General features: G+C 38.7%; 1 long non-coding RNA gene across 1 annotated transcript in view, besides 1 other annotated feature; it reads right to left on the bottom strand.

The window, feature by feature from the left end:
* PLPPR5-AS1 (PLPPR5 antisense RNA 1) overlaps positions 1-24,943 on the bottom strand; it is a 144,577-nt gene that overhangs the window by 58,439 nt on the left and 61,195 nt on the right. The gene's annotated exons all lie outside the window — the stretch shown is intronic.
* Positions 11,992-12,527: an enhancer, noted in NCBI's record as "NANOG hESC enhancer chr1:99543443-99543978 (GRCh37/hg19 assembly coordinates)". NCBI's record gives its function as "activates a minimal SCP1, AML or CMV promoter by ChIP-STARR-seq in naive H9 embryonic stem cells {active_cell/tissue: H9 hESC(naive)}" and the evidence as "EXISTENCE:reporter gene assay evidence [ECO:0000049][PMID:30033119]".

Here is a 24,943-nt window from a genome sequence, read left to right as displayed (position 1 = left end):
AAATCATGGTGGAAGGCAAGGAGAAGCAAGTCATATCTTATGGATGGCAATAGGCAAAGAGAAAGCTTGTTCAGGGAAACTACCATTTTTTTAAACCATCAGATCTCATGAGGCTTATTTACCATCATGAGAAGAGCATGGGAAACACCTGCCCCATGATTCAATTACCTCCCACCAGGTCCCTCTCACAACACATGGGAATTCAAGATTATATTTGGGTGGGGACATAGCCAAACCATATCATTCTGCCCCTGGCCCCTCCCAAATCTCATGTCCTCACATTTCAAGACCAACCATGCTTTCCCAACATTCCCCCAAAGTCTTAACTCATTTCAGCATTAATTCAAACGTCCACAGTCCAAAGTCTCATCTGAGACAAGGCAAGTCCCTTCCACCTATGAGCCTGTAAAATCAAAAACAAGTTATTTACTTCCTAGATACAATGGGGTATAGGCATTGGCTAAATACAGGCATTGGCTAAATACAGCCATTCCAAATGGGAGAAATTGGCTAAAATGAAGAGGCTACAGGTCCCATGCAAGTTTGAAATTCAACGGGGTAGTCAAATCTTAAAGCTCTAAAATTATCTCCTTTGACTCCATGTCTTACATCCAGGTCACACTGATGCAAAAGGTGGTTCTCATGGTCTTGGGCAGCTCCAACTCTGTGGCTTTGCAGGGTACAGTCTCCCTCCCATTTGTTTTCATGGGCTGGTGTTGAGTGTCTGCAGCTTTCCAGGCACACAGTGCAAGCTGTTGGTGGATCTACCATTCTGGGGTCTGGAGGATGATAGCCCTCTTCTCACAGCTTCACTAGATGGTTCCCCAGTAGAGATTCTGTGTGTGAGCTCCAATCCCACATATTCCTTTCACACTGCCCTAGCAGAGGTTCTCCATGAGAGCCTGCTCCTGAAGCAAACTCCTTCCTGGACATCCAGGCATTTCCATACAACCTCTGAAGTCTAGGCGGAGGTTCCCAAACCCCATTCTTGACTTCTGTTTTCTTATAGGCTCAATACCACATGGAAGCTGCCAAGGCCTGGTGTTTGCACCCCCTGAATCCATGGTCTGAGCTGTACTTTCGTCCCTTTTAGTTACGGCTGGAGTAGCTAGGATGTAGAACACCAAGTCCCTAGATGACACACAGCACAAGGACCCTGGGGCTGGTCCAACAGAACCCCTTTTTCCTCCTAGGCCTCCAGACCTATGATGAGAGGGGCTGCCGTGAAGTCCTCTGGCATGCCCTGGAGACATTTCCCCCATTGTCTTGAGGATTAACATCTGGTTCCTGGTTACTTATACAAATTTCTGCAGCCAGCTTGAATTTCTCCTCAGAAAATGGGATTTTCTTTTCTATCACATTGTCAGGCTACAAATTTTCTGAACTTTCATGCTCTTCTTCCCTTATAAAACTGAATGCCATCAACAACACCCAAGTTACATCTTGAATGCTTTGCTGCATAGCAATTTCTTCCACCAGATACCCTAAATCATCTCTCTCAAGTTCAAGATTTCACAAATCTCTTGGGCAGGAACAAAATGCTGACAGGCTTTTTGCTGAAACATAACTAGATCCACCTTTGCTCCAGTTCCCAATGAGTTCCTCATCTCCATCTGAGACCACCTCAGCCTGGACCTTATTGTTCATATCACTATCAGCATTTTTGTCAAAGCCATTCAACAAGCCAGTAGGAAGTTTCAGACTTTCCCACATTTTCCTGTGTTCTTGTAAGCCCTCCAAACTGTTACAACCTCTCTGCATGTTACCCAGTTCCAAAGTCACTTCCACATTTTCTGGTATCTTTTCAGCAATGCTGGTACCAACTTATTAGCCTATTTTCATGCTGGTGATAAAGACATACCCAAGACTGGGCAATTTATAAAAGAAAGAGGCTTAATAGATTTACAGTCCCACATGGCTGGGGATGACTCACAATCATAGCAGAAGGTGAAAGGCATGTCTTACATGGTAGCAGATAAGAAAAGAGAGCTTGTGCAGGGAAGCACCCTTTTGTAAAACCATCAGATCTCATGAGACTTCTTCACTGTCATGAGAATAGCATGGAAAAGACCTGCTCCCATGATTCAGTTACCTCCAACCAGGTCCCTCCCACAACACGTGGGAATTCAAGATGAGATTTGGGTGGGGACAGAGCCACACCATATCAGTTCCTCTCTTGCCTATCACACATGTATAGTTTGTCTGGAAAATAATAATCCTTAATCGTATTTCCAGGTAACTTAGAAAAAATAAATCCAGAATCTTTACTATGGTTTACAAGACTCCATTATTTTGCTCTTGCTTACCTTTCTGACTTTTTTTTTCCTTTTCTCTTCTTTTCTTCTCTTTTCTTTTCTTTTCTCCTTCCTTCCTTTCCTTCCTTCCTTCCTTCCTTCCTTCTTTCCTTCCTTCCTTCCTTCCTTCCTCCCTTCCTTCCTTCCTTCTTTCCTTCCTTCCTTCTTTCCTTCCTTCCTTCCTTTCTTGCTTTCTTGCATTTTCCAAGTCTCACTTATGTTGCCCAGGCTGGTCTTGATGTCCTGGGCTCAAGGAATCCTCCTACCTTGGCCTCTCAAAGTGCCAGGATTACAGGTATGAGCCACCATGCCTGGTATACTAGTCTGTTCTTGCACAGCTATAAAGAAATACCTGAGACTGGGTAATTTATAAAAAAGTTTAATTGGCTCAGGGTTTTGCAGGCTGAACAAGAAGCATGATGGCTTCTGGGGAGGCCTCAATAAATTTTCAATCAGGGTGGAAGGCAAAGTGGAAGCAGGTATGTCTTACATGGCTGGAGCAGGAGGAATAGAGAGAAGGGAAACGTGCTACACACTTTTAAACAACCAGACCTCATGAGAACTTAGCACCAAGGGGAGAGTGCTAAACCATTCATGAGGTACAGCCCACTGATCCAATAGCCTCCCACCAGGCCCCGCCTCCAAGACTGGGGATTACAATTCAACATGAGATCTGGATATGGGCACAAATCCAAATCATATCACCTGGCCTCTCTCTGACTTCATTTTCTACAATTTCCTCTCTTGCCAAACTGGGCCTTTTTGCAATTCGTTTACCATGCCAAGAAAGCTCTCACCTCAAGGCCTTTGATTTGCCATTCTCTAACTTGAGAATTCTTTTCCCAGATATTCACATAACTCATTTACTCACTTAATCCAGACGCCTGTTCCAATACCTTCCCCACAATAGCACTTTCCTTATTGCCCTTTCTAAACGACCGTATTTGTCATTCTTTGATCCCCATCCTACTTTATTTTTTTCCTTGTAATGCTTATTATCATCTGACATCATATAGATATTTGTTCTTATTTATTTATTTGTTTTCCCCCCATGTAAATGTGAGCTTCATGGAAAGGCAGATACTCTAATTTTTTTTTTTCACGGCTGTATGTCCAGTGCCTGGAAGAGTTCCTAGGACATAGTATTAAGTGAAGGAATGAACCACAGTGGTTCAGAGTTGGGTCTTGGATAAGTGAAGAAAAGTTTTGTATAGAAACTTTCTTTCCTACTACTAACAAGCTGTTTTATTTAAGCTGGACTCAAACACATCATCTCTGATATAAGCACTAACAAACTAGGCTGCCAGTTTGTCAGCATAGCATCTGACAAACTCAAACAAGCATTAGTGGCTGACTACATACCATTAATTGGTGACCAAAATACTCAATAAATATAATTTATTTAAATAATGATGAAATGATTAAATAACAGATAAAATATTAATCAGACATGAACTTGGAAGCCTCACAAGCATTAGGAAATGTCTATGGTGGCCTCGTTCTTAAATTCTATAATTTTTCCAGGTTTCTATATTTTGTATTCATATCACTGGTTTGATAAATTTTCTTGGATCTTTATGTTAAATCAAAACAACATGAAAAATTTAAACTATTTTTTAAAGTCATAGTTGTTATTTGGTTGGCATTTATGGCTTTTACAGAAATTCAGCTAAGCAATTCGTTTATCATCATTTATCATGAGTGTCCAGGTCAATATTTTTTACTTCATTCTGAGAATATAGTGTTATCTGGTGCTTGGTTCAAGTCAATTAAATTCAGAGCATGCTGCTAGGGAATGAGGGGATTCTCTGGAGAAAATGACATATTTCCTGCCTTCAAAGAGACTGTCAGTTCTAACATTAATACAAATTGGGTCTCTTTCTGGATATGACACTTGGTTTGTTTCTAGCTGAGTCAATCTTTGCCTTAGATTCCTCAGCTGAAAAATAAAGCTAATAATAGAACTGTTAAGAAAAAATAGTATAGAATAGTAAGGTAATGTTTACAGTTGGAACTTAATAAGGTACAAATTAATACATTCTAGAATGTTTCCTTGTGTGCATCAATAAAGAAACTAGAGTCTGTTCTAATTTCAATTAGAGCTAGAATATCTATTAGAACTGGAATGTTTAACACCCTGGTAGTTTTAAAGTTTTTTATGAATTATGTTAAATGAAATTTTAAGCTGAAGCATAAGCAAATAAGCTTGTTAAAACTGGAACTGTACACCTGGGATTGCTTAAATAGAGTTCAACATCACTAAGACCTAACTCCTGGAAATTTGTCACATAGATACAAATGATTTCGAGCAGAGTGTGACAGTTTTATGGCCTCTTGCACTAATTTGGATACAGTTTTCCCATTTGGCACCATTAGACAGATATTACTCATTTCCAGGGCAACAATATAAGTTATCCCAACACATAGAGATAATGGAAAGAAATTTAGTTGCCTTGGTTATAAGAATAACTCTAGTCTTCATCTCAGTAATCTCCATTTGATATTTTTAAACTGTAGAGAGCCTTCCTTAATCCATGGCATCCAATCCTTGTATCTGTGATGTCATCTGAAAAATTAGAAGCCCATCTGTGATGCACTCTTGCCCTAAATATGATTATCTGTCACTCAAATGTACTCACATGTGCACACACACACACAAACACACACAACCTGATTCCATTCAAGTTGTTGGTCACAACTGAAAGTGAACTTGCCTCTATCTGTTCTGCCAAGACAGTGTGGAAAGTAGATCTCACATTCACCATTGTATCTCAAACACCTATCACAGTTCCTTTGTATTCATACATGAACGTAGGCGTGCATTTATTCACCATTCAGTTGAATACATGCATGCTCTCTCTGTATCTGACACTGTTCTAACGACAGGGAAATAGCATTGAGGAAATTGGTTCCTGCTCCATGGAGCCTACAGACCTATGTATGGTTGGTGCTTTATAAGCATTTGTTCAGTTAGTGAAAACATTTTATTTGCTCGTATATAAAGAAGAAGTCATGGTAGAGTTTTTAAGAAACTAAACTTTATCTTTTAGAGCAGTTTTAGGTTCACAGCAAAACTGAGCAGAAAGTAGAATTGCCCTATAACCCCTTGCCCCAACACACAGCTTCCCTACCATTAACATCTTGCACCAGAGTGGAATTTTGCTACAATTAATAAACCTATATTGACACATCTTTTACCCAAAGTCCATAGTTAACTTTGTGGTACACTCTTGGTGTCATACATTCTGTGGGTTTTGACAAATATATAATGATTATGTATCTGCCATTAAAGTATCACACAGAATAGTTTCACTACCCTAAAAATCTGACTAGACTTTTGAAATTCTATTTTGGGATTTATAGAAACTAGATTGATTGGCAGCTTCTTTCAGATTTTCTTAAAAAGTTCTAGTCTACACGATATTTGAATTTCTGAGGTAGCAGCCACCCTGGCTGAAACATGCTTTCAGATCAGGTGATCTCACAAATGTGTAAGGGATCTGGTTTCTCAATCTCTTACAGCAAAGTAGTTTCTGAAGACTTCTCCAAAATGAGACAGTTCATAGAATGAAAAAAAAAAAATCTCTGCCTTTATGATCACTATGCATGAGCATAACTTTGACACTCCTTTGTTTAATCCTCTCTTCTCCTTCTCTTTCTTCTTCTTCTTTTCTTCTTCTCCTTCTCCTTCTGTTCCCACTCCTGCTTCTGCTTCTGTAAAAGGGTGGATGATTTGATTTTCAGAAATGCGTGGTCTAGAGGTGCTTCTTTATAAATTAGAGATTGTGTCTGATATGAACCCCTCATCAGCCATGACACAATCATAAGGCTGAATAGGATTACTAATCAGACTTTTCTTTTGCATCTGACCACCCAGTGGGCTCTGGTCTTTAGAGCCTAGAGAGTCTCCGACCTCAGAAAATGGGATCCATTGAACACAGTACCCTCTTCCTGACTCAGTGATTCTTGGGACATCAAACACACTTTAAAAGTCACTGTTTCCAGTTTCCTCATTTTTTAGAGCAGAAAACAGAGACCCACAAGCATAAAGGTACTTGCTTCAGTGGAGACAAAAGTTATACTAGAGTATCAAGATTTACAACATTAATTTTCACTGCTCTATATTAATGATACATTCTATGATGTATTGACTTTCATCAATTAATCATAAACCAAAATTTAACAGAATTTTGCTTAGAGATAATATCACTGATTTAGTAAAGCATTTTGTAGCAAAATGAATCAAAATTTTCCCATTGAGGATACAGTTTTCAGGAAACAGAAACATGACATTTCACACCAAGGAACATTTCTTGGTCCTAGAAATGTTCAAGAATCCTTTAATAACGCTGCCTTTTTCTTTCTGAATTCCATGTGCCAGGGCACCAGCAGTCATTTGCAGGACTCCTGGATTTCTTCAAATTCTATTATTTTGTTAGATATGACTGCTGTGGACATAGGATGATTCAATTTTATATACATGTATGTAAATATATACACATATGGGCATTTAACCCCATTTAAACTTCCGTGTAATTATGACCAACACAACTATGCAACGACTGAAACCAGAACAAAAGAAGGTCTTAAGCCTCTGAAATTCCTACGGAACTTAGGCAAGCCACGTAAAATGATTCTTTGGGAAGCTGGTCCTGGCATGAGCATAGCCATCACCACACCAGAGAGAATGGCATGGCATTTTTAATAAGAAGATGTGGTAAAACATTGGTTTCTATTTTCAAAAAATATATATCATATTTAAATCATCTAAGAATAGTGCAAGAGTTCACTATCACTTCCATCTGATTATAGAACTTTTGAAATAGATGGAAACTGACAATTTCATTCAGTCAAGGACTGCAGCATCCCTTAAGGTTTCAGTGGAGTACTCACAACAGAAAGATGTCTAGACTGTTTTGAACACCTCATGGACAAAATTCCACAGAGTTTTAATTATAAAAAGTATTTATATATATGTTAATATGCTTACATGTATTTTTTCCTTCTATGAGGATAAAATGAGATACCACAGGCAACATGTTAAGCACAGAGGCTGAAACATTATAGGGCTTAATATATTTCATTTCTATGTCACCAAAATTTAAAAAAAATTCCAAAGATAATAAGCTAATTGCATGTGTACTTTTTTCTACTAGACTGTAAGCACTTAGAGCAGCCATATTTTTTTCTGCACTTCTGGTGCCTAGTTTAGTGTATTACTGAATAGTAGAAAATAATATGAGAAGAATGCAGAAGAAGAGAGGAGGGGAAGATGGGAGAGGGCATGGAAATGGAAGAAAGGAAGGAAGGAAGGGAGGGAGGGAGGGAGGGAGGGAGGGAGGAGGGGAGGAAGGAAGGAAAGAAACAAGCAGGAAGGGTGAGAATAAGAGATAGCAAGTAGACGAAGATATATATTTCTCCAATAATTTCCTACCACTTTAAGTATAGATAGACTTCCAACTATTTAGCATGGTTTACAAGACAATTCTTTGCTCTGGGAAGCTCTGTAACCTCTATAAATACACCTCATGTTCAGCTTCAGTCACACCCAATTAGTGGCGTTTCCTCAAGCATTCAGTCACAGCCCTGGGCTTTGCATTTGTTATTCCTCTAACTAGAACATATACCCTCTTCATTTCTGTCCCTTTGTCAGTCTAGCTGGCTTCTTATCCTTTAAGCTTCAGCTAATGCATTTCATATAATCACAGTAAGTAATTTTTTATTATTTCCTCTTATATCTTCTTTTTCTGTTTCAATAAAATGTCTTGTCATTTTTTCTTTTTTATGTATTTGTACATGATAGCATATTTGTTTTCTCAGAATGTACACCAAATATTTTTGTTTACCATCCTATTTTATTCATACCAAATTCACATATAATTCTTAAAACCATATGTTCACAATCTTCTCCCCAAACGTTGCCTATTGTCATCTAGTTTTTTTCTAGTGTGCACTCAGGAACCAGTGTTGAACCCTTCTCCATTACGTAGATGCACTCTCTTTAACTCTGGAATTCTGGAATATTCTTTAGGAGAACATTTTTTTTTCCTCCAATGCTACCTTTTTAAAATTAAGCTTTTTATTTTGTATAAGCATAGACCGACATCCAGTTGTAAGAAATAGTACAGAGAGATGCCAAATACCCTTTACCTATTTTTCCCCAAAGATAACATCTTTCACAACTCTAGTATGATACCACAAACAGGATTTTGATATCGGTATAGTAAAGATACAGAACAATACAGAACAGTTCCATCATTGCAAGGATTCCCTGTGTTGCCTTTTAAACCACAACCACTTCCATCTCTCCAACGCTGTCCCCAACAGGTGGCAACAACTAATCTTCTCTTCATTTCTATAATTTTGACATTCCAAGTATGTCATAGAAGTGGGATCACATAGTATATGACCTACTAGAATTAGCTTTTTTCACTCAGCATAATTCCAGGAGATCCATCGAAGTTATTGCATGTATCAATACAGTAGTTCATTCTTTTCTATTGCTGAATAGTATTTCATGGTTTGGATGTATCACAGTTTATTTAAACATTCACCCATTGAAAGACATATGGGTTGTTTCCAGTTTCTGTCTATTTCAAATAAAACTTCTATAAACAACTATGTACAGGCTTTTTGTGAATATAAGGGTGCATTTCTCTGAAATAAATGCTTAGGAGTACAATGATTGGGCCACATTGTAGTTGAATGTTTAGTTTTAAAAGAAACTATCAGTTTTCCAAAATAGCTCAACATTTACATTCCCTCCAGCAATGCTTGAGAAATCCAGTTTTTCCATACCTCATCAGCATTTGGTGTTGTCACTATTTCTTATTCTAGCACTTTTAATAGATGTATGATTATACCTCTTCATGGTTTTAATTTGCATTTTTCTTAATGGTTATGATGTTAAATATTTTATCATATGCTTATTTGCCACTTGTATATCCCCTTTAGTGAAATGTCTCTTCATACTTTTGTCCATTTTCTAATTGGGTTTCTTATTGAGTTTTGAGAGTTCTCTATATTAATATTCATTAATATGTTAATGAACATCTATGTGTTAATATTCCTTAATATATTTATGATGATGATAATTAATTTGTGATGAATATTAGTCTTTCATTGGTAATATGGTTTGAAACAATTTTCTTTCAGTCTGTGGTAATATTTTCAACATGTTGACAGTGTCTTTGCAGGATCAAAGTTTTTAGTTTTGATGAGGTTCAGTTGGTCAGGTTTTTGTTTTATGGGCCATACTCTTGGTGTAAAGGTTAATAAGTTTATGTCTAGTCCTAGATCCAAATATTTTCTCCTATATTTTTCAAGCAGTTTTATAGCTTTATGTTTTAAATATAAGTTCACAATCCAATTGGAGTTAATTTTTGTGAAAGGTGTGAAGTTTAGGCCAAGGTTTAAATTTTCTGTCTATGGATGTCCATTGGCTTGCAGCATGATTTGTGCAAGAGGTTACTTTTCTTTTATTGAATTGTGTTTGCACCCTTGTCAAAAGTAAGTTTGGTGTTGCTATGGATTGAATGTGTCCCCCAAAGTCCAAATGTTGGAAACTGAATCCTCTATGTAACAGTATTGAGAGGCGGGCCTAATAAGAGGTGATTAGATCATAAGGGCTCTGCCTTCATGAATAGATTAATATCAGTATCACAAAATTGGGTTAGTTATCACAGACTGGGTTTGTTTCAAGTGAGTTTGGCCCCCTTGCAGTCTTGTGCCCACTTGTCCTTCCACCTTCTAGCATGAAATGACAGCAAGAACAGCAAATGTGATCTCCTCCACCTTAGACTTCCAGACTCTACAACTGTAAGAAACATACTTATTTTCTTTATATATTACCCAGTTTGTGGTATTCTGTTATAGCAACACACAACAGATGAATGCAGGCATATTTTTGTGAGTCTACATCTGAATTCGCTACTGTGTTCAGTTGATCAATTTATCTGTCCCTCCACTGATACCACACACTGTTGTGATTGCTATAGCTATATAGTAGAACTTAATATCAAGTGGAGTGGTTCTTTCTACTTTATTCTTCCTTTTCAAGATTGTTTTAGCTATTCTAGGGTGCTTTTCCTTATATATTTTAGAATATATTTGTTTGTGTCTATAAAAAACCTCACTGGAATTTTGATAGGAATGGCATAAACCTATAGATCAGTTTGGAGATAATTGACGTTTTCATTATGCTAAGTCTCCCAACCCACAAATACGGTGTGCCTCTCCATCTAGTTGAGTCTTCTTTGATTTCTCTCATCAGCATTTTGGAATTTTTAGCATACAGTTCCTGTACATGTTTTGTTAAATTTATACCTAAGTATCTCATTTTCTTTAGAGAGATTATACATGGTATTCATCCTTTAATTTCAGTTTCCACATATTCATTTTTAATATGTATAGGAAAGAAATTGTCCAAATCAGAAAGGAAGAAGTAAAATTATCTCTGTCTTTATATGACATAATCCTATATGTTAAAAAACCACAAAGATTCCACACTGTTTGAACTAAAAGTGAAATTCAATAAAATTACATGTTACAAAATTAACATACAAAAATCGGGAGCATTTTTATACAGAAATCACAACCTACTTAAAAAAGAAAATAATTCTCCCTCTCCCTCTCCCTCTCCCTCTCCCTCTCCCTCTCCTTCTCCCTCTCCCTCTCCCCGGTCTCCCTCTGATGCCGAGCTGAAGCTGGACTGTACTGCCACCATCTCGGCTCACTGCAACCTCCCTGCCTGATTCTCCTGCCTCAACCTGCCGAGTGCCTGTGATTGCAGGCGCGCGCCGCCACGCCTGACTGGTTTTCATATTTTTTTGGTGGAGACGGGGTTTCGCTGTGTTGGCCAGGCTGGTCTCCAGCTCCTAACCGGGAGTGATCTGCCAGCCTCGGCCTCCCGAGGTGCTGGGATTGCAGATGGAGTCTCATTCACTCAGTGCTCAATGTTGCCCAGGCTGGAGTGCAGTGGCGTGATCTCGGCTGGCTACAGCCTCCACCTCACAGCCGCCTGCCTTGGCCTCCCAAAGTGCCGAGATTGCAGCCTCTGCCCGGCCGCCCACCCCGTCTGGGAAGTGAGGAGCGTCTCTGCCTGGCCGCCCATCGTCTGGGATGTGAGGAGCCCCTCTGCCCGGCTGCCCAGTCTGGGAAGTGAGGAGCGCCTCTTCCCGGCCGCCATCCCATCTAGGAAGTGAGGAGCGTCTCTGCCCGGCCGCCCATCGTCTGAGATGTGGGGACCGCCACTGCCCCGCTGCCCCGTTTGGGATGTGAGGAGCACCTCTGCCCAGCCGTGACCCCATCTGTGAGGTGAGGAGCGTCTCTGCCTGGCCGCCCTGTCTGAGAAGTGAGGAGCCCCTCTGCCAGGCAGCCGCCCCGTCTGAGAAGTGAGGAGCCCCTCCGCCCGGCAGCCGCCCCATCTGGGAACTGAGGAGCGTCTCCGCCCGGCAGCCGCCTCATCCAGGAGGTGGGGGTCAGCCCCCGCCCAGCCAGCCGCCCCGTCCGGGAGGGAGGTGCGGGGGCAGCCCCCAGCCGGCCAGCCGCCCCGTCCGGGAGGTCGGGGGCGCCTCTGCCCGGCTGCCCCTTCTGGGAAGTGAGGAGCCCCTCTGCCTGGCTGCCACCCCGTCTGGGAGGTGTACCCAACAGCTCATTGAGAAGGGGCCATGATGACGATGGCGGTTTTGTTGAATAGAAAAGGGGAAAATGTGGGGAAAAGACAGAGAAATCAGATTGTTGCTGTGTCTGTGTAGAAAGAAGTAGACATAGGAGACTCCATTTTGTTCTGTACTAAGAAAAATTCTTCTGCCTTGGGATGCTGTTGATCTATGACCTTACCCCCAACCTGGTGCTCCCTGAAACATGTGCTGTGTCCACTCAGGGTTAAATGGATTAAGGGCAGTGCAAGATGTGCTTTGTTAAGCAGATGCTTGAAGGCAGCATGCTCGTTAAGAGTCATCACCACTCCCTAATCTCAAGTACCCAGGGACACAAACACTGCAGAAGGCCCCAGGGTCCTCTGCCTAGGAAAACCAGAGACCTTTGTTCACTTGTTTATCTGCTGACCTTCCCTCTACTATTGTCCTATGACCCTGCCAAATCCCCCTCTGCGAGAATCACCCAAGAATGATCAATAAAAAATAAAAATAAATAAATAAATAAAAAAAGAAAATAATCCCATTATATTTCCTGATAAAAGTATTAAGAAATTTAAAATACTGAGGAGCAAATTTAACCAAAGACTTATAGACTGAAAACTATAAAGCATTGATGGAAGGAATTGAAGAAGACACAAATAAATAGAAAAATATTCTGTACTCACAGACAGGAAGAATTAATATTATTAAAATATCCACACTATGCAAAGCAATATACAGAGTCATGCAATCCCTATCAAAATCTCAATGGCATTCTTTATGTAAGTAACAAAATCCATCCTAAAATTAATATGGAGCCAAAAATACCCCAAATAGCCAAAACAATTCATAAAATAAAAAACAAAGTTGGAAGCATCACACTTCCTGATTTAAGACTTTATTGCAAAGCTATATTAATCAAAACAGTATGGTACTAGCATGAAAAAGAGACAAACAGCCCTGCTTAGTGCTAACACTACCCTAGCAGGGAATCAGGGCACCATCTGGTTCTGTCAGACTGTGCTTTATACTCCAACACCATCTTATTGGGGAGTGAAAATTTCTTCCCTACTTCCTTGGGATGAATGAGGTTTTTTATTGGTGTTTAGCTGGACTAGGGAGGATATTGCAAAAAAAAAAAATCTGCTGTCAGGCAATCTTTTTTCATGTCTCTTGGCTAAAGGGACAGGTTTTCTTTGGAGCTGTGTGTCCATGTCTATTGGAGGTTTGGGGTTGGAGGCTTCTGGATCTCCCTGTCCAGGATATACGGAAGGCACTAAGAAATCCAGTGGACCCACTGCTATGTCTTCCCTCAAGTTCTGAGATCCCTAGGCAGAACATCTTCCTTCTACATTTTGGAGGCTTCCTATGTTTGTTTGCTACATATACCCAAAGTTCTTTTGTTGTAAGAAGGATCTGGGAGGAATAGTACTACTAATCTTCATGGAATCTGGAGACCGCCAAGGCTAACTTTTTTCATATATTAAAAGTATTTAAGTTCATAAGTATAACCATTACATTACATAGGTGTGAATGTGTTAACTATGTGAAAATGTAATAAAATATAATACCTGTCATAGGACCCTGTATAGTGATATGCTTCCCTTAAACAGTATAAAATAGTGATTACATCTTACTCTCTCTTCTCTGCATTGCACTTTTCATTCATTCATTTATTTATTCACTTACTCCTTTGACCTATGTTTGTTAACTGCTTTATACAACCCATAAAACTCCAAGGATATAAAGATTGAGATATATTTTTACTCAAGTTTTGCTGCATTTACCCAGTAGCCCAAATGAGAAATTTAAAAATAATTGACTTCTTCCTCTCCATTAACCATACACCCTACATAGATACAATTTATCAGCAAATTTAAATATTTTCCCTGCGATACAGGTCATAAATCCATCCAGTTCTCTCCATATTTCTTATGAGCCTCTAATTCAAGCTGCCATCATCTTTCATTAAGGCCCACCTTTCAAGTTGACCTTCCTCTTTCAACCAGCAGCCAAGTAATCTGTTAAAAGTATCAGTAGGAATGCGTTAGGGCTCACCTTAAAAGCCCTCCAGTAGTTTTCCTTAAGATGAAAGATAAAATCCAAATTCTTTATAATGGATCTTAATAGTTTGCCTACACTTCCGAGCTACCTTGGACCACTCTACTATCTCTCTTTAAGCTTTATACTTCTCCAAGTTGCTCAAACCCCAACCTTTTTTCTACCCTAAGTTCCCTGCCTGTTCAGTTTTCTCCAAATTAACATTCATTCCATTACCTCTTTCCAAGAAAATTTCTGTTCAACATTTTGAGCTCTTAAACCCTTAAAGTTTCTTAAGGCTTTCCATTTATTCTATAATTACTGAACATCTTCTGTGTGCCTGCCACTGTATTTGGAGCTGGAGATAAAGCAGTAGACCAGACAAAAAGACAAGAGTCTTAGCTTTTACGGACCTCATATTATATGAATGAAGACAGACAATGTATATGCAAACACACAAATTAGCAAAATTTCAGATAATGACAAGTGCTCTGAAAAAGACAACATGATATAATATGGTGGAAATATATATACATATGCACATACATATACATATACATATACATATACATAATATGGTGGAAATACACTGGTGGTATGGGTATGATGGGACTGCTTTTGGAGCAATAGATTAGAGACAGTCTCTTTGAGGAGGTAATATTTGAGTTGAGAGGTAAATAGTATGAAGGAATCAGTCACATAAAGATTTAGGGAGGAAGAGGATTTTAGGCAGGGCAAATAACTAGTGCAAAGACAGAAGAAAAACAGGCATGCTTGGGAAGCAAATGAAGAGCCAGTATGGTGGAGCTTTGATGGTAGGCAGTGATCTTGAAGAGGTAGGCAGAGAACAGATCATGCAGGACCATTCAGTTCATGAGGAGCTTTGGGAAATATCTGGAGTGTAAAGAGAAGCCACAGAAGGGGTTTAAAACAAGATAGGGACACAATTTTATTTATATGTAAAAAGGTCACCCTGGTGATGAAGTGGAAAATAGTTTGTGAGTAGGCAAAGAACAGAAGAAAACTAGTTAAGATGCTCTCTTCATGGTCTAGGTAAAAGGTAATGGCAGCTTGAAGGAGAGGAGTGAAGAGGAGAGCGTCATTACAGTTAGAAAGTCTTGCCAGTACTCTTGAAACCCCCTCACTTCTCCAGGCATGATCATCCTCTCTTTTTTTTTTTTTTTCCAATTTAAAACTGTTAATTTAAAAGTAAACTTTAATGTCAAAAATGCAAACTTGGGGAGGGCAGAAAGATCACACACAAGGCTGGCACTTCACACTTGGAGGGTTGCACAGCGGCCAGGCAGAGGGGCTCCTCCCTTTCCAGACTGTGGGGCGGCCTGGCAGAGGGGCTCCTCACTTCCCAGACGGCATGGGGGCTGGGCAGAGGCGCTCCCTCTCTTCTTATAAGGACCACCACTACAGTCACTTTTAACAGCATAGGTAGATACGTTTTGTTGGGATGTTTTGTATTGTGTTGTTTTGTAATTTCTGTGACTGGAATCGTAATTTTTTGTGTCTTTCACTCCCATCTTTCCATATTTTAAGATTTTTCCATCTTGTTGCATGCAGCTATAATTTGTTAATCTCATTGCTGTTACACCATTCAGTCAGTGATTCTATCAAAATTAATTTACTCATTTGAAGGGTAGCAAAGTATGTCACCCCAAAATCTGCCATTTTGGCATAAGGGTTATTTTGAATTGAAGGGAATTGAGAAGAAGCAGATACAAGAAAAACTTTCTGTCCTCCCACATTTGCCTAAAAGCAGGGCATATATTTATAAACATGTCTTCCCTTCCACCTCTACCAGGAAAAACAAAGATTGATCACCAAAGATAAATTTAGACTTTTATAAGCCAGGAGACAGAACCAGAGGAATCAACAAAACAAACCTTTATTAACTAGACTTTACCTACCATTAGTTTCCCATAACTTGCCTCCTTCTTTCTTTGAACTAAAGATATTATATAAACTAAAATTCTAGTTCATCTCTTTGAGAATTACTCATTTCTTCGGTATGTCACATGTATATATGAAATATACATGTTAATAAGCTTCCATTTGCTTTTCCTTTGTTAACCTGTCTTTTGTTGCAGATATCCCAGCCAAGAACTCAGAAGGGTAGAGGAAAAATTACTTTTTCTTCCTACACATTTTACTGTTGATGGACATGTGGGTAATTTCCAGTTTGGAACGATTACTGATAGTGCTGCTATGAACATTTTAGTGCATGCTATTTGGAGATATGAAGTAGAATTGCTAGGCCATAAGACACACATATGTTCTACTTTAGAAGATACTGCCAAACCATTTTCCAAAGTAATTGCACAGATTTTAATTCCCACCAGCAATTAATGACAATTCCAGTTACCTGGCATTTTTTTTTTTTTGTATTTTCATCACAGTCATTCTGTAGGTGTAAGAGGTGTCAATTTCTATTTTTTGGATATGTTTATTTCTTATATTTACTCTCTAAATTTTTTTAAGCCTTTGATCTATACTCTCTTTTTGTTTCCTTTACTTTTAGACAACAACTTCCAAATTCGAATATCTTTTCCTTTCATCAATATGTTCACAATCCTCTGTTAGTCTATGCTGCCAAATAAAAGAAGAGCACTTGCTTTCACAGTTATTGCTTTCATAAGCCTTCTTATCATTGAAATACAGAAGTATTAAGCTTTCAACAATCCTACATTGTCTTACATTCACCATAGGCTCTAAGCATTATTCTGTGGATTCATGGGAGTTTTATCAGTAGCTGATTTCAAAGTCCCTTACATCTTCAAATTTTATTTGAATAATTTTCATCATTCTTTCTTTTTGTGAATCCTCTTTCCTTTGGACCAGGCTCTACTCGTTTCTGCATCAATGGTATTTCCCCTTTTACCACCCATTTTCACTCAGTCTAGGATCCCAAAGCAACTCTTAGGTATAATTATTCCACTCTGATAGAAAGTTATATTTTATGTATGAGTTTAATTTTCCAGAAATTTAAAAGTTATTTTCCCTAGAGAAAAGGGTCATAGAGCAACACCATTTTTAAATGCTTTAAAATAGAAGGTCTTTAGTAATCAAAGCAATTCAAGATCATTTTCACAGATATAGAATTATCCAACTTGTTCCTAAATCAACTTCAGAGTTGACAGTCCTTATACACTTTGGACAATCAAAGTGATTAATACTTCTGGGATTTTGCCTATCATAGCACCACATCAAAATAGTAATTACTTCAACTGAAAGTTATGAGTATTACAGTTTAGGGTTGTACCTGCAGCTGTGCTTGTGGGAATACCATTGATTCAGAAAATAAAGAGCAATAAGGGTCTACAAGCAGGCAATTGAATTCCCTGGTACATGAATTTATAAAAACATGTCGCGCCCGGCTCTGTGGCTCATGCCTGTAATCCCAGCACTTTGGAAGGCCGAGGCGGGCGGATCACAAGGTCAGGAGATCGAGACCATCCTGGCTAAAACGGTGAAACCCCGTCTCTACTAAAAATACAAAAAATTAGCCGGGCGTGGTGGTGGGCGCCTGTAGTCCCAGCTACTCTGGAAGCTGAGGCAGGAGAATGGCATGAACCCAGAAGGCGGAGCTTGCAGTGAGCAGAGATCATGCCACTGCACTCCAGCCTGGGTGACAGAGCAGAGCGAGACTCCGTCTCAAAAAAACAAAACAACAAAAAAACATGTCTTGGTGACACTGCTAGCAGTTAATGAGATATTGCGGTGCTGCTACCTGAGTCCCTTTAGCCACATGATTCCATATTCTGCTTTTAAATAATTATAAATAGTATTGGAGGAATATCAGAATAAACTATTGTCTTCTCATTGTCCACTGCTAGGATTTAGTTGAGGTTACATAAGTTGTAGAACAGATTTATTAGAAATTTTTTCATGACTAAGAAGCTTTCTACGAAAGAATATAAGCTGTGTCCTCTGCTGAGTTTCAAACATATCTGATCCTATCTGATGAACTGGTGAGTTGGCCCCAAAGAAGTCTGATTGTGAGCAAGAGATTAAGAGCTCTAGGGAACTCATTCCAAGGAAACAGGCAAATGGTCCCGACCCAACAACAAAGCCATCAGAGGAGAAGGAACTCCGGATACAATGTCTTGGCTGTTGCATGATTTCCTTCTAGGCTCAGCTTCATGGATCTAAAAGTTAAAACAGGAAGATTTTTGGTTTTTTTACTAAATACTGTGAAGTACTATACGATGCTTCCTTGATGCAGCAGCTTCTCTACTAGTGGTCTTTGCAATTTCAGGGTGTGTCAGAGGCTGCTTGCTGTGTTTACACAAAGTGTAAACACTTTGTGGCACAGGCGACACTAATTTTCACCACTGTAACAAAAATCTATTTAAAAAATATTTGAAGGGAAACAGGACAACTCTCAAATCCTTTCACAGGCCACATCCAGCTTTGTTGTAACTGAGGCCTTAGTGTGGGCATTCAGACACCTTGGGTGCCCAGACAAGCAAGAGGAGAGTGTCTCATAACAAACAAGCTGTGTGGTGATCAGCAAGCAGCCTCTGACACACTCTGGAACTGCAAAGACCACTAGCAGAGAAGCTGCTGCATCAATGAAGCACCATATGGAGCATACAGTCAGAGGAGCAGCATCGATGCTGAATTAGGTCTTGTTATATGAGACATTTCTTGGGTACTCTCAGAATCATTCATTGCCGGGTATGTGGAGTTAGGGTGGGGGTGCTTTGATAGGAAATGAGATTTTTTTCAGAGTTTGGATTTTTCTGTGTAGCCAGGGTAATTTGACTTATAATAGGATAAAAAGTTTAAATTGTCCTTAAAATTAAAAGTCTTCTCTGCATCTGTCCAATCATCCAGCTATATAAACATACATGTATATGTTTTATACATATTCAGAGACTGCCTTTATTTCTTCCCTCTGAAGACAGAAACAGAATTATTTGCCCATGTGGTTGTGCTTGTTATATAATTTCCTACATTTTAAAGTTCTTTGTCTTGTTTTAATAATCTTAATTTAAAAATTCCTTCTTAAATCCCTTTCTCTCTTTGATTTAACTTTGAAAATGGTTCTTTGAGAACTAAAATAGCAATATTTCAAATAAAATGGGCATATGTGTTGTATAACTCCTGGTTCTAGCTAATTGAGAAATAGAATCAAGAGACTAAAAAAAGAACAAATTTCAGTGCCAACTTTATTATTGGTAAAGCTAGATAGAGAGCCCTGCATAGATTTGAGGCCAGATTGGCGCTTCCTATGCCCGCTTCTGAACTAAGGCTACCTAGCTTTTAGGGATGTATTCATCCAGTCACAGGCAGAGACATTGGATCAGGGAGAGCAGAGGACAAGCTGGGCTTGCCAGGGGTCTTTTTTGGTTTGGTTACAGAAGGATGAAGGAAGTGCAAGTCAGGCCCTTAGCACTTGAGGGTAAATGGATTTTTGGAATGGGGGAGGGAAAAGGAACATCCTTAGCAATGCAGCATTTCCACTAGTGACCCCCTGCCTTCCAGTGTGGCTCACGGATATTAAGCTCTTCAAGAACTCACCAATTAGATATTTTACCTCAGCTCCTATGCGACTATGTTCAAATTCCCCTCTCTACAAGGAATAATAGAAAAAGAAGTCAGGAAATGAGCTTTCTTCTTGAACACTCTCAAACTTTTTGTTTCCTTAACCTTTGACCACAACCAAGCATATGGTCAACCAAGGTTGTGGCTGTATCTCTTCAGAGGAGTGACTAGCAGAGTATCAGAGAGCCCCACTCTCTATTTGGGAAACCTCTTTTCACTCCCTACCAGTGCCCCTCTGGACCTCCTTCTGGGACATTAGTGAATAGTTTCATTTTTGTTCCCAGAAATTTCCAATATATCTCAGAATAAACCATTAACTGATGTAACTTGCAGGGTACAATGCACTTTTAGCCAACAGCTCATTCTCTATTCAATTTCCAACTTTAAATTATGCCCAGCCATATTGTCACATAGTTCTTATCAGAGAATATACCAAAAAATTCAAACAAAAATACCTCCAATAATACAGTATAACTTTACAGTTGATTCCAACTTAAATCACATGGAGTTCCCTGTATTATTATATTCTCAGAGAGAAATTATGGACCCAAAACAAAATCGGATTAAAGTTCATTAGGTTTTAAAGAAATTAAAATCTAAAATCTTTTCTATCCAATGGTTTTCTGTTTTCGGCCAGAACAATTTCACTCATGTGGAATCTGGGCTCTTTCAGAAGCAGATTGGCCCTTTTCCATGAAAATAAGTGTAGCAACTTCAAAATTTAATTACTCCAATTTCAAGTCACTCAATTTCAAGGCACATCATGTGTGACATGCCATCAGACAAAGAATCCATAAAGTCAATAGGATACATATGATGATCTCAGCTGCAGCCCTCACCCATGCAATTTAGAATAGACAAAATAATTTCAATTCTCCCAAAGCAGTTACTCCTGTTCATAATATAATGCAATATTGCAATTGCCAGCATTGAACCATAGAAAACCAGAAGAGAATAGATTTGAATTCAGCTTTACCAGAATGCCCAATAATCTAGGCTAGTTTATTGAATATTTAACCTATGAACTTAAATTTAAGTATGAGAATATTTTAATTAAGAAGTTAATTATGGCATTGCTTCTACATTTATTGCATTCTTTCATTTTGCAAAAATATATACATATAAATTTGCTGTGATGGCCTCACCAGCCTTCAGGCCTTATTTGAAGCTCTTTTCTTTCATTTCATATTCATTTCACATTTTTTCATTTCCATATCTCCTCGGAGCCTTATGATTCTGGCATGTGGATGCTGAAGGCTGAGCATGCTGCCTAGGGATACAACCTCTTCTTCCTCTGGAGAGCTGAGTGTCCCACATTTAAAGAGTCCATCCTCCAGAATTCATTGCATTGTATTCTCCACAATGTCAATCTTCTGCTTTTTTTTTTTCATTTTTCTGGATTTCTCCAACCACAAAAATATCTAAAGGCATTTTTAGCAGTGTGCCATTTGTCTGCTGCTACTGCCTCCCCCTCTAGAATTCCTTGGGCTTACGAATCCTGTGCCTTAGAGGGTTCTTTCCCTTGTCTTTGCATCACAATTGCCTTAGCTGGAGATTTTTCTTCAGGAGATTCTTGAACTGAAACAGCTGCTGATTTTTACGAAGCTTGTGCCTTAGTGGATTGAGGACAAATGTTTCCTTCCTTTGTGTACTTCGCCCAATACTGCCTTTCTGGAATTTTGGAGTTGGTAGAGCTTCAATCCCTAGGTTCCTTCCATGTCATCCCAAATTCTGCTCTTTGCCATCTTTTTGGCACTTCCCCAGAGTGTTCTATTTCTCTCTGTTCCTCTACTTCTGTCAGCTACGCCCAGCCGAGCTTTTAAAATTTTACTAATTTCTCAAAATTTTCTCTTCTTCTCTTCTCTTTTCTAAAGCAACAACTATAATATTAATTGTAACAACGGACATTTATTGAGCATTTACAAGGTGCCAGACCTTATGCCTAGAGATTTAAAGGTAGGCATGCATATTTCCAAGTTATACAGATGACGGTATTGATGATTAATGAAGTTAAAGTATTTTTTGAAGTTTACAAAATTTAGATTAAACTAAAAGATAAAGTTAGAGGAAAGAGGTGAATTACTCATTGTCCACACTTTAATAGAACATCTCTATCCCTAATAAATATACACTAAATTCCTCATTTTATTAGCCACTCCTGCAATAGAGATGAGTAAACGAAGAGGTGGAGATATGAGAAAATATTTGGTTTACTGGAAAAAGGCAGTGTTTCCTTGTGGTTAGTGGCCCAAACTCTCTAACTGAATTGTCATGGAAACTAAATGATTTCATATAAATTAATTCTCATTATTGAAATAATTGCTGCTCTTTTCTCAAGAATATTGCAAAAGTCTCTAACCCTCTATAGCCATGAGAGGGAATAACTGTGCTTTTCAACAACAGCTAAATTCAACGCACTCAGCCAAGGATGTGACTACTCACAATTATAATGGAAGGAGAACCTGTTGATTAATTCGCATCATATTTCTGTCTTTCCTACAGTGTGGAGGAAGAGCTCTGTGTGTTGATTACTATTTAACTTGTGACTATGTGACTACTTCCCTTTTATATTTTATGATAATGTTGCTTGATCATTTATTCACAGTTATATACAAACAGTAAGGGTTTTTCCCTAAAAAACTGCCTTGATTTTAAAAGAATATAAGGCAAGTCATTGCAAAAAATGATAAAATACTTAAACAAGGAAAAGAAAATGAATATCTTTGGTGATTCTACTTCCAAGAGGTAATTCCTTTAATATTTTGGTGGTAATCTCTTAGGGCTTTTTCTGTTATAATCACACATACCTTAGAAAAGGTAAAGTTTTACATCCACTTTTAAAGCACTCACTAATGTTTAAGAATGTGTTTTTTTTTTTCTTAATAATATATCATTGGAAAAAATCTAGGTGGGGCGCAGTGGCTCATGCCTGTAATCCCAGCACTTTGGGAGGCCAAGGCGGCCAGATCACCTCAGGTCAGGAGTTCAAGACCAGCCTGGCCAACGTGGTGAAACCCTGTCTTTGCTAAAAATACAAAATTAGCTGGGCATAGTGGCGGGCGCCTGTAATCCCAGCTACTCGGGAGGCTGAGGCAGGAGAATCGCTTGAACCCAGGAGGTGGAAATTGCAGTGAGCCGAGATTGCACCACTGAACTCCAGAATGGGTGACAAGAGTGAGACTCTGTCTCAAAAACAAACAAACAAAAACAAAAAACAAAAAAATTGTGTTAACACATATAGACATCAACATTTTTAATTGAGGTAGTCCATTGTATGGTTGTATCTTTATTTATATGTCCATTTCCTATAATCAGCATTTAAATTAGTTCTAGTATTAAAATGTATGCTAAGATGAATATTCTTTTACATATATATTTGTGCATTTGTCCCATTATAATCCAAAAGATGAACAAATGGATCATTTTTTAATCTTTTGCCAAAGATGTATTAAAAATCAGGGACATTTGCTGGTACATACAAATCAGAATGTGTCTGACAGGGGGAGTGTACACTGAAAAATCTATTTTGTTTCTGAGGGCAAAGCAAATCTAAGTCATGATTTGCTCCTCAATTCAGTTTCATTGATCTTGCAATTAAAAATTCTTGCAAGAGTTTGAAACTAGCTTGACTATACATTTAGTTTCCATTGTTGTTATAAACTTCTCCATTATTCTGTGCTTTTGTAACTATTTTGTTAATATTTTTCATTAAATTGTATGTTTTTAAATATAGAGAATTGCAAATAAGATAACATGTACAGCACTTTTTGAGACACAGTCTTTAATTTTGCAAGAACACTCTGTTATTTTCAACAACATTTTCCTGTTCTGTGGGAAACTTTGTTTAGGTTATTCAACCACTAGTTAAAACAACTAGGTCAAAGATAAATTCTCTGCTGGATTATGTCATGATGAAGAAGAACTCTACCCTTTTTTAAAGGGTAGTAATATCTGGTCTAGGTATGTAGAGAAGTTATCTTATACCCATGGGACAACAGAGGTGGATACTTGCAGCCCTGAGTCAACTCACTGCCACAGCTTTACCCATGTTTTGCTGTGGAATCTTTTTAGACCACCAATTAGGACCAGAAAGTCAGTAAACCATACTCAGGGATTTACCTCCCAGTAAAAACAAGTAGAAGAAAAACAGCTATGAGTAGCCAGACATCTAATCTTTGATAACTTTACTTCCAGTTGATAATTGGCCTACTACTATGTATCATGGCTAGCATATGAACCTGAACTCTGTATTTATAATTTCACCATCCATATTTCATTCTTCAGTCACTTATTCAATAGTTATTTATTGAGCATTTATTAAATTCCAGATTATATTGTAGGTTCTGGAGATACATTAGTAGACAAAACAGAAATTACTGCTCTCATAATTAATGAATGACTATTTTGTGATCAGCAAACTGCCTCAGATATGCCTAGATATTTAATATCAAATTCAGATCTTTGGAATTTTTGAACATAGTAGAGTTTCCTGACACCTTTTCAGACTTGACAGTTGGATTTTTATATTTGACTCTTGACTGTCCTAACATCGATAAACTCCACATGGCAATTGGTAACAAAGACATAGCAACTTGATTGTGCACTAAATCAGTGTTTGTGTTTGTAAAAGAGCCATAAATTTACATCCACAGAAAATATGGCTTACTTGGAATAACTGATATAATCCTTCTTTAAGACCACCTCCCTGCCACCCTCACCAACAATGCTGGAGAGCAGAGAAAATATAATTTAGTTTAATTCAGTAACTTATATTGATCCAACAATTTAAACTTTGTTTTACAGATGACTATCTTATTTTGGTGAATTCTGCATCTTTCAGGGTTCCCATCTGTCCCTCTGGTATGTCCAAGTGGGTCTCAAATTGCAAAATGGGGAGGGTTACATAACCCGTAGTGGTTGAGAAAAAGTCTGCTCCACTCACAGGTCTCGCTATCTGCTGGTGTACCGTGCTAACGTTTGTGCCTGGGGAATGTATTGCATCCTCCTGGATCTGATCAGGGCCCAGAGATCCTCCCCTCCTGACTCAAGTTTACCTTTACTTACTGGTGCTGAGAGGGCTTGGGTGTGACTGCAGGGTATTGTACTTGACTCTTAGATCACTCAGTGCCTGCCAGACCACTGTGGAACTCCGGCAATTACCATAGCTGGACTCCCAACTATCTCTATATCCCCACATTCACCCAGCTCTGCGGGCATGTGGTATTTTCCAAGACTTTTCCATGGCATGTGGGAGTTAAGAGTGACTTAAGAGTTTTATCTAAGGCTCTTATTCTGCCTAAGATTCCAAGAGGAGGTCAGAAGGAACATGCTCTGAGGCTGTGTCCTCTTTGAGGTAGAGTTGTTTAAACAGCACTTGACCTAGGACTCAGTGCAGCTGATTTATCTCTCCAT

This window comes from Homo sapiens, chromosome 1 (assembly GCF_000001405.40).
Source record: "Homo sapiens chromosome 1, GRCh38.p14 Primary Assembly".
Lineage (NCBI taxonomy): Eukaryota > Metazoa > Chordata > Mammalia > Primates > Hominidae > Homo > Homo sapiens.
This window is presented reverse-complemented; position numbering and strand designations above follow the sequence as displayed.